Here is a 9,984-nt window from a genome sequence, read left to right as displayed (position 1 = left end):
TCACTGCAGTAGCAACAGGAGGTGGCTACAAAATCATTTTTTAAATAAAGTTATTACAGTAGTATACTGTATTATATAGTTCATTGTATGCAGTTTTGATTTAATACCACTTTTTTTTTTTTTTTTTTTTGAGATGGAGTTTTGCTCTTGTTGACCAGGCTGGAGTGCAATGGTGTGATCTCGGCTCACCGCAACCTCCGCTTCCCAGGTTCAAGCAATTCTCCTGCCTCAGCCTCCCAAGTAGCTGGGATTACAGGCATGCGCCACCACACCCGGCTAATTTTGTATTTTTTTAGTAGAGATGGAGTTTCACCGTGTTGGTCAGGCTGGTCTCGAACTCCCAACCTCAGGTGATCTACCCACCTCAGCCTCCCAAAGTGCTGGGATTACAGGCATGAGCCACCATGCCCGGCCTGATTTAATACTGCATTTTTACATTTGTTCACATTTCTCTAGATGCAAATGGCGCCAGGTATGGTCCATAAGTATGTGTGTGTGAGTTTTGATTATTTTAACCTTTTATAATAGGTTTGTGTGTATTTTATGATATAAATAATAAAATAGGCTAGTATCTATATATGTCTTATGCATTCATGACATATCTCTTTCTTAATTTTTTTTCATATTTCTAGGCTATGCAGTTTGTGTGCTAGTTTTTTTCAAATTGTCACAAATCTCCAAAAATTTTCCAATATATTCATTGAAAGAAAATTGCCAATGAGTAGACCCATGCAGTGCAAACCTATGTTGTTCAAGGATCAACTGAACACTTATTATAGTTAAACACTATTACTACTACTGTACTAAACACAGAGCAATCACTACTTTACTCACTGTCTTCCCATCCCGGTAGCCTTCTTAACCTCACTTGCAGTCCCTTATCCCTAGAATGAATACTCCAAATCTTCTCTTAACTAAATCCTTTATTTTCTTCAGGTTTCTCCTCAATTTACCTCTACAGACCACCCTATCTGTTGTCTTGCCCCAATCCCCTTACTCTATCCTAATATCTAAAAATAGGCCGGGTGCTGTGGCTCACACCTGTAGTCCCAGCACTTTGGGAGGCCGAGGCAGGCGGATCACCTGAGGTCAGGAGTTCGAGACCAGCCTGGCCAACATGGAGAAACACCATCTCTACTAAAAATACAAAAATTAGCTGGGCATGGTGGCGGGTACCTGTAATCCCAGCTACACAGGAGGCTGAGGCAGGAGAATCTCTTGAACCCAGGAGGCGGAGGTTGCAGTGAGCCAAGATCGCGCCACCGCACTCCAGCCTGGGCTACAAGAGCAAGACTCCACCTCAAAAAAAAATAAAAGAATTCATTTTCATTGTAGCACTTAACACTGTCTGAAATTGGAGTTTTGCATACTTCAGTAGGATATAAGCTCCTTAAGAGTAGAGATTTCGGCCAGGCACAGTGGCTCACCACCAAGCAACAACAGCAAAACTCCGTCTCAGAAAAAAAAAAAAAAAAAAAAAGAATAGACATTTCTTGTTCACCACTGTATTTCTCAGACCCTAGAACAGTGCCTACAGCATTTAGGTACCGAGTAAATATTTGTTGCATGAATAAATGAATGTAATGATTAAATGGAATAATAGATCAAAAAATTACTTTATGTTGGTTGGGCATGGTAGCTCATGCCTGAAATGCCAGCACTTTGGGAGGCCGAGGTGGGTGGATCACCTAAAGTCAGGAGTTCGAGACCAGCCTAGCCAACATGGCAAAACCCCATCTCTACTAAAAATTAGCCAGACATGGTGATGGGCACCTGTAATCCCAGCTACTTGGGAGGCTGAGGCAGGAGAGTTGCTTGAACCCAGGATGTGGAGATTGCAGTGAACCAAGATTGCGCCACTTCACTCCAACCTGGGTAACAGAGCAAGACTCTGTCTCTAAAAAAAAAAATATATATATATATATATATTAATCTATGTGATCATAAAGAACTTAAGAGAAATGAGAATGGCTGCTCTCTTCTGCTTACACTTTAATCATTATGTGGTTTTCTTTTCTTTTTTTTGAGACAGAGTCTCTGTCACCCAGGCAATGGAGGTGCAGTGGCGCAATCTCGGCTCTGCAACTTCCGCCTCCTGGGTTCAAGCAATTGTCCTGCCTCAGCCTCCCGTGTAGCTGGGACTACAGGCATGTGCCACCACACCCAGCTAATTTTTGTATTTTTAGTAGAGACGGGGTTTCACAGTGTTGGCCAAGCTGGTATTGAATTCCTGACTCAGATGATCTGCCCGTGTTGGCCTCCCATAGTGCTGGGACTACAGGCGTGAGCCACTGCACCCGGCCCGCTGTGTGGTTGTCTAAAGAGACTTGTGAGCCATATAAAATTATTTAAATGCCTTATTTTTACTTGGCAAGTAGTGAGTGTTGGCTAATACAGTATCACTTCACTGGACTGTATATCTTGTTTCTTTTTCGTGTGTGTGTGACAGTCTTGCTCTGTCGCCCAGGCTGGAGTGCAGTGGTGGGATCTCAGCTCACTGCAACCTCTGCCTCCCAGGTTGAAGCAATTCTCCTATCTCAGCCTCCTGAGTAACTGGGACTACAGGTGTGCACCACCATGTCCCCCAGCTAATTTTTGTAATTTTTTTTTTTTTTTTGAGATGAAGTCTCACTCTGGAGTGCGATGGTGTGATCTCAGCTCACTGCAACCTCCGCCTCCCGGGTTCAAGTGATTCTCCTGCCTCAGCCTCCCGAGTAGCTGGGATTACAGGTGCACGCCACCATGCCCGGCTAATTTTTTTGTTTTTTTAGTAGAGACAGGGTTTCACTATGTTGACCAGGCTGGTCTGGAACTCCTGACCTCAGGTGATCCGCCCGCTTTGGCCTCCCAAAGTGCTGGGATTACAGGCGTGAGCCACCATGCCCAGCCTATGTCATTTCATTCCAAAGGAGAAGACTATTACTGAAAAAAATCAAGCATAGCAAAAAAATCAGAAATGAAGAAGAAATGTTAGAAAATTACCTAAATTTTGTAATCCCAGCTAGTCGGGAGGCTGAGGCAGGAGAATCGCTTGAACCCAGGAGGCAGAGGTTGCAGCAAGCCAAAATCCCTCCATTGCACTCCAGCCTGGCAGCCTGGGGGACAAGAGCGAGACTTCGTCTCAAAAAAAAAAAAAAAAGAAATAAAGAAAGAAAATTACCTAAATTTAAAGCAGAGTTGATATAGTGACTAGGAAGTCAGTGACATATGTGACATATCTGTGAACATTAAAGATATCCCAGACAGATGAGGCACATAAAAATATAGACAAAAATTTTTTCAATCCATATATAATAGTATGTTTCATCGTTGTTTAATGTTGTGGCTTTTTTTTTCCTTTGTATTTTTCTTTTTGCTTATCTTTTAATAAATAATTTTTTTAATTTTTCTTTTTGAGACAGAGTTTCACTTTGTCACTCAGGCTAGAGTGCAGTGGCATGATCACGGGTCACTGCAGCCCCAACTTCCTGGCTTAAGCAATCCTACAACCTCCCTCAGCCTCTCGAGCCCTACTAAATTTTTAATTTTTTGTAGAGATGGTGTCTCCCTTGTGTTGCCCAGACTGGTTTCAAACTCCTAGGCTCAAGCAGTCTTCCCACTTCAGCCTCTCAAAGTGCTGTAATTACAGGCATGAACCACCACACCTGACCTCAATAAAATTTTGTGGCATTTTAGCAGAGGATCATGGGGTATGTAATGGAAAGAACATGGATCTGATGCCAGAAACCCTAGGTTTGTGTCCAAGCTCCATGCTTACTAACTCTGTGACCTGAGTCTGAAGTTACTGAGTCACTAGTAGGGGTACTAGTAGCCTTCTTTTTTTTTTTTTTATTGAGACGGAGTCTCACTCTGTGGCCCAGGGTGAAGTGCAATGGCATGGTCTCGGCTCACTGCAACCTCCACTTCCTGGGTTCAAGTGATTCTCGTGCCTCCAGCCTCCCAAGTAGCTGGGATTACAGGCATGCACCACCATGCCAGGCTAATTTTTGTATTTTTAGTAGAGATGGGGTTTCACCATGTTGGTCAGGCTAGTCTTGAACTCTTGACCTCAGGTGATCCACCCACCTCAGCCTCCTAAAGTGCTGGGATTACAGGCCTGAGCCACCATGCCTGGCCACTAATAACCTTCTCAATGGATGGCTATGAGGATTAAATGGGATAATATATGTGAACATTCTTTGTTACTGTGAGGTATTTTTTAAAATGCTATAAGATCTCTTTCAGCCTTCATCAGAGTTCCAGTTTTGTGGTAATTCAGATTCCTCATTTATTTAGTGGGAAGGATAACTATGACTGAATAATAGGTCATGAGTTCTCTGCTGACAGATGCTTGTTTTATATCCCATTGCACTTCACATGGAGCTGACATAGGCACCCAATAAATATTTGTGGGATTAAAGGGGGGCTGGTGAAAACAGTACCATTTTTCTCCCTGAATAAAGCACAAAAGAAGGTGACTATTGCTGAGTGACTGCTCTTCACGCAGAAATATACTATAATCAGTTTTCATGCTTATTTTATTTAATGTAAAATTTAAAAGCCCATAAACTGTTAACATGATATGATTAGTTAATGGGCTGTCTCTAAAATATATCTGAATTTAGATTACCAGATTGGCCAGTCAATTATAGTTTCTTTTTCTCATTTCCAGTAAAATGTTTATGGATTTTATTTATTAATAAAATTGTCTTCCTGTCTTATAAGGTTAGGAGAATAACTCTTCCTATAGAAATAGAATGTCAAGGTCAGGTGTGGTGGTGCATGCCTGTAGTCCCAACTACTCGGGAGGCTAAAGCAGAAAGATTGCTTGGGCTCAAGAGTTCAAGACCATCCTTGGCAGTATAGTGAGACCTCATCTCTAAAAAAATAAAAAAATAGAAAGTTGCCAGTGGGGCCAAGCGCAGTGGCTCATGCCTGTAATCCCAGCACTTTTGGAGGCCAAGGCGGGCAGATCACGAGGTCAGGAGTTCGAGACCAGCCTGACCAACATGGTGAAACCTGTCTCTACTAAAACTACAAAAATTAGCTGGCGTGTGCCTGTAATCCCAGCTACTCAGGAGGATGAGGCGGGAGAATCAATTGAACCCAGGAGGTGGAGGTTGCAGTGAGCTGAGATCACATCATTGCACTTCAGCCTGGGCAACAGAGCAAGACACTGTCTCCAAAAAAAAAAAAAAATAGCCAGTGTACTGAAAAAGTTTATTTATAGAGCTTAGCTAGGCCAGGCACAGTGGCTCATGCCTGTAATCCCAGCATTTTGGTAGGCTGAGGCGGGTGGATCACTTGAGTCCAGGAGTTTGAGACCAGCCTGGGCAACATGGCGAAACCCCATCTCTGCTAAAAATATAAAAAATTAGCCGGGCGTGATGGCATGTACCTGTAGTCCCAACTACTCAGGAGGCTAAGGTAGGAAAATCACCTGAGCCTGGGGAGGTTGAGGCTGCAGTGAGCCGTGATCGCGCAACTGCACTTCAGCCTGGGTGACAGAGCAAGGCCTTGTCTCAAAAAATAAAAATTAAAATAAAAAAAGAGCTTAGCTAATAATTCTTGGCATTATACCGACAGACATTATACTTTTCCACACCTCAGTTTTTCTGGTTATAGAAAGATAAATCTCCATTTTGTCCTTATTAAGTCAGAGAATATATAAAACATGTAGTTATTTATTTGTTTAAATCCTCTGGGACTTTACAAAGAAAATAAAACTGATAGTGAAAATTTCTCTTTTTTTTTTTTTTTGAGAAAGGGTCTTGCTCTGTTGCCCAGGCTAGAGTGCAGTGGCACAATCTTGGCTTACCGCAAACTCCGCCTCCCTGGCTCAAGCAACCCTCCTACCTCAGCCTGCCGAGTAGCTGAGACCACAGGCGAAATTCTCAGATTATTGCATATTTTGGTTAAAAACAGCTTTATAATCTATATTAGTTTTTCATTTACTTCATTTATCATATTCTTTTTTAAAAAAATTTTTCTTGTTTCTTTTCTGTGCCTATGCTTACCCACATATTGATTCTTTTTATATACCCAGGTGCTATACTTGTATTTTTACCAGGACTAGCAGAAATCAAAATGCTTTATGAACAGCTACAGTCTAATTCTCTTTTCAACAACAGACGTAGTAATCGGTAAGCTAATTGCTTTCTATATTCTTAATCATCCATTGCAGTTACCTCTAAAGATATCATCACCCTCTTTAGACCCTGGAAGAGCACCAGTCTTCGAGCATACATTTGTTTATGCCAGCTGGAAATGAGCAAACCTATTTGCTGCAGGAAATCAGTTATTCCCTTTTTATTAAAGAAAAATATTGGCCAGGCTCAGTGGCTCATGCCTGTAATCCCAGCTCTTTGGGAGGCCGAGGCGGGCGGATCACCTGAGGTCAGGAGTTGGAGACCAGCCTGACCAACGTGGAGAAACCTCATCTCTACTAAAAATACAAAATTAGCTGGGTGTGGTGGCCGGCACCTATAAACCCAGCTACTCAAGAGGCTGAGGCAGGAGAATAGCTTGAACCCGGGAGGCAGAGGTTTTGGTGAGCTGAGATCACACCATTGCGCTCCAGCCCGGGCAACAAGAGTGAAACTCCGTTTCAAAAAAATTCTCTTCACTTAGCATAGTGACTCAGCAAATTTGCATGTAATTTTAGATGTCAGAGCCCCAGATAGTGGGGGAAGGTGGGGGAAAGGCAGCATTAGTAACAACAAAGAAGTCCTACCATTATGAGAGAAAATCATCTTCAATAGTTCCTATTCCAGGAGCAAGACACACTGGGTGTGTCTTCATTTTTAAGGGGAAAACTATTTGACAAACGAACACTCCCTTAAAATGTAAGAATGAAGTTTCTGAGGTTACATCATTGTCATTGCCTGTCTTCTCTGTGTGTGTGTATGTATGTGTGTGTGTGTGTATGTGTATATATATGTATGTGTGTATATATATATATATATATATATATATATTTTTTTTTTTTTTTTTTTTTGAGACAGAGTCTCGCTCTGTGGCCCAGGCTGGAGTGCAGTGGCGTGATCTCGGCTCACTGCAACCTCCGCCTCCCAGGTTCAAGTGATTCTTCTGCCTCAGCCTCACAAGTAGCTGGGGTTACAGGCTCATCTTGTATTTAAAGGAAGAATAATTCTTTGCTGGTTAGTTTGCACTAGGCTTGTTGGTTGTAGAATATCAATTATTTATTCCTCTTCATTATTTACTACTGAATTACACTCCAACATTTTTCCCAAGTTGGTATGAGGTTTTTGGTTCCTAGAACTAAGTAAATATTTTGTAAAAATCAGAAAGGACTTTACCTTTTATTTTATTTTATTTTATTTTATTTTTCGAGACGGAGTCTCACTATTGTCGCCCAAGCTGAAGTGCAATGGCAGGATGTCAGCTCACTGCAACCTCTGCATCCTGGGCTCAAGTGATTCACCTGCCTCAGCTTCCCGAGTAACTGGGATTACAGGTGCCCACCAACACACCTGGTTAATTTTTGTATTTTTAGTAGAGACGAGGTTTCACCATGTTGGCTAGGCTGATCTCAAACTCCTGACCTCGGGTGATCCGCCTGCCTCAGCCTTCCAAAGTGCTGGGATTACAGGTGTGAGCCACCGTACCCGGCCAAGACTTTACTATGTAGAAGAGCTGAGCTCTGAGGACAGGTTGTGGAGAAGTTGCTAATACCTGAAGTCATATTGTTGGTTTTAGTAGAAATTCACCTACTGTAATCTAGTTTCGGTGCTAGGTGCTAGAATACTTCATGTGCTTTTATTTCCTTCCAGATGTGTTATTCACCCACTTCATTCATCTTTATCCAGTGAAGAGCAGCAGGCTGTGTTTGTAAAACCTCCTGCAGGAGTAACTAAGATTATAATTTCCACCAACATTGCTGAGACATCCATAACCATCGATGATGTTGTCTATGTTATCGATTCTGGGAAAATGAAAGAAAAGAGGTATTCCGTCTTGTGGTGATGTAAGAGAGGGGCTAAAAATGCTTCATTTAGGGAGACACCGTTGTTAGTGGCTAATGCTATTAAGCTACACGGATTACTGTATGAAAAAATACTTTGTGAAAACTGTACGTGGATGTGTGAATGATTGTGTAGCCAGGACCATGGACCTTAACATCAAATGGGGATGAAAAGTAATGAATTGCTTTTTCTCTCTTTTTGTCATGTGATTTTATATGTGCTTGTATGAAAAGGGGTTGAATAAAGAAACTGTGTAGTTTGGGAAACTCTGCACTTGATGCCACTTAAATCAGCACTAGCTGCTCCTACCAGGGGCTCAACTATCCCAGAATATACAGGGCACTGTGTCCCTCTACAGGAGGAAGCTGGTTCATCTATTCTGTCCATAGCAAGCAGTCTTGGCCATGTTTTTATAAAATGACTCAATTTATATTTTCTTTTTCTTTATAGATATGATGCCAGCAAAGGGATGGAAAGTCTAGAGGACACCTTTGTATCTCAAGCTAATGCTCTACAAAGGAAAGGCCGAGCAGGCCGTGTTGCATCTGGGGTCTGCTTCCATTTATTCACTAGCCATCACTACAATCACCAGCTTTTAAAACAACAGCTACCAGAAATACAAAGAGTGCCATTGGAACAGCTGTGTCTAAGGTGACATCTGGTTTTTTGTGTTTTGCTTCCAAAAGGTCTAAATGTTTCTCACTCTATTAAGTTCCATGTTTTCCTTTTACTTCTAGAAGATATTTGGCTAAGAATGACCACCAATAATCTCATTTATTTGTGAAGAAAGATATCCTTAGTGTTGCCTTTACCATTCCTTTTAAATTTCTGCACATAAAGATCTCTTACATTGCAGAGCATGGCCCTAAAACAGAGCTTAAGAGTACATATGTAGGGCCGGGCATGGAGGCTCATGCTTATAATCCCAGCACTTTGGGAGACTGAGGCAGGTGGATCACCTGAGGTCAGGAGTTCGAGACCAGCTTGGCCAACATAGCAAAACTCCATCTCTACTAAAAATACAAAAATTATCTGTGTGTGATAGCACACACCTGTAATCCCAGCTACTTGGGAGGCTGAGGAAGGAGAATCTCTTGAACCCAGGAGGCAGAGGTTGCAGTGAGCTGAGATCGTGCCACTGCACTCCAGCCTGGGCAACAGAGTGAGACTCCATCTCAAAAAATAAAAATTAAATAAATGAATAAAATAAAAATGAAATTTAAGTAAGTGGATTACTGTCAATTCACGTCTTAAAGTGAACTACATTAAGTGAGAAAAGGCTAGGTACCAAAAATATACATGTTAATAAAAATGTAAAATTGTGTGTATATAGATTGGCAACTTAAAAAGGAGCTGTATGTGAAGTAAATAAAATTTTTTGTTTATGTTGCACTTTTCTCTAAGTTGCCGATATTCATAATTTGTTTTTTTTTAAAATGAGAACTCTTTTTCTGAATGAAGTTCATAATTTAAAACACTAGTTTTTGAAGAGCTATCACAAGGCAGGACACAATGCAGATTAATTTTATAAACAATGACTGCAGCTTTGGGCTGGGTGTGGTGGCTCATGCCTGTAATCCCAGCACTTTGGGAGGCTGGGGCAGGCAGATCACCTGAGGTCAAGAGTTCAAGACCAGCCTGGACAACATGGTGAAACCCCATCTCTACTAAAAAAATATAAAATTAGCCAGGTATAGTGGCGCACGCCTGTAATCCCAGTTTCTTAGGAGGCTGAAGCAGGAGAATCACTTGAACCCGGGAGGTGGAGGTTGCAGTGAGCCAAGATCATACCATTGCACTCCAGCCTGGGCAATAAGAATGAAACTCTATACCCCCCCAAAAAATAAAAATATATAAATAATGACTGCAACTTCAGATGTGAGAAGGAATAAGTGGATCGTTTAAACCTTTTTCATAAATACCTTTAATTGTATAGCAGTCAGAACTATCTAAGTTAATCATGTCCAGTTTTTATTATGGTAAGAATACTTAATATGAGATCTACCCTCTTAGCAAATGT

The 9,984-nt window shown here is 41.5% G+C and overlaps 1 protein-coding gene across 8 annotated transcripts in view, besides 1 other annotated feature; it reads left to right on the top strand.

Annotated features, from left to right (window-relative positions):
• Positions 1 to 9,984, top strand: part of DHX57 (DExH-box helicase 57) — a 78,206-nt gene that overhangs the window by 41,473 nt on the left and 26,749 nt on the right. For 7 of the 8 annotated variants that reach the window (NM_001329963.1, NM_198963.3, XM_011533154.3 and 4 more), the window contains 3 exons: positions 6,026 to 6,122; positions 7,773 to 7,946; positions 8,415 to 8,615. In NM_001329963.1, coding sequence (NP_001316892.1) covers positions 6,026 to 6,122; positions 7,773 to 7,946; positions 8,415 to 8,615 — 472 coding nt within the window. Of the gene's footprint in view, positions 1 to 6,025; positions 6,123 to 7,772; positions 7,947 to 8,414; positions 8,616 to 9,984 lie in introns of those variants that run through there. The other variant, XM_047446269.1, reaches the window with a different exon arrangement.
• Positions 6,481 to 6,775: an enhancer, noted in NCBI's record as "tiled region #4728; HepG2 Activating non-DNase unmatched - State 15:Elon, and K562 Activating DNase matched - State 5:Enh". NCBI's record gives its function as "activates a minimal TATA promoter and a strong SV40 promoter by Sharpr-MPRA in HepG2 and K562 cells {active_cell/tissue: HepG2 | K562}" and the evidence as "EXISTENCE:reporter gene assay evidence [ECO:0000049][PMID:27701403]".

Source organism: Homo sapiens, chromosome 2, assembly GCF_000001405.40.
Source record: "Homo sapiens chromosome 2, GRCh38.p14 Primary Assembly".
In the NCBI taxonomy this organism is placed as follows: Eukaryota; Metazoa; Chordata; class Mammalia; order Primates; family Hominidae; genus Homo; species Homo sapiens.
This window is presented reverse-complemented; position numbering and strand designations above follow the sequence as displayed.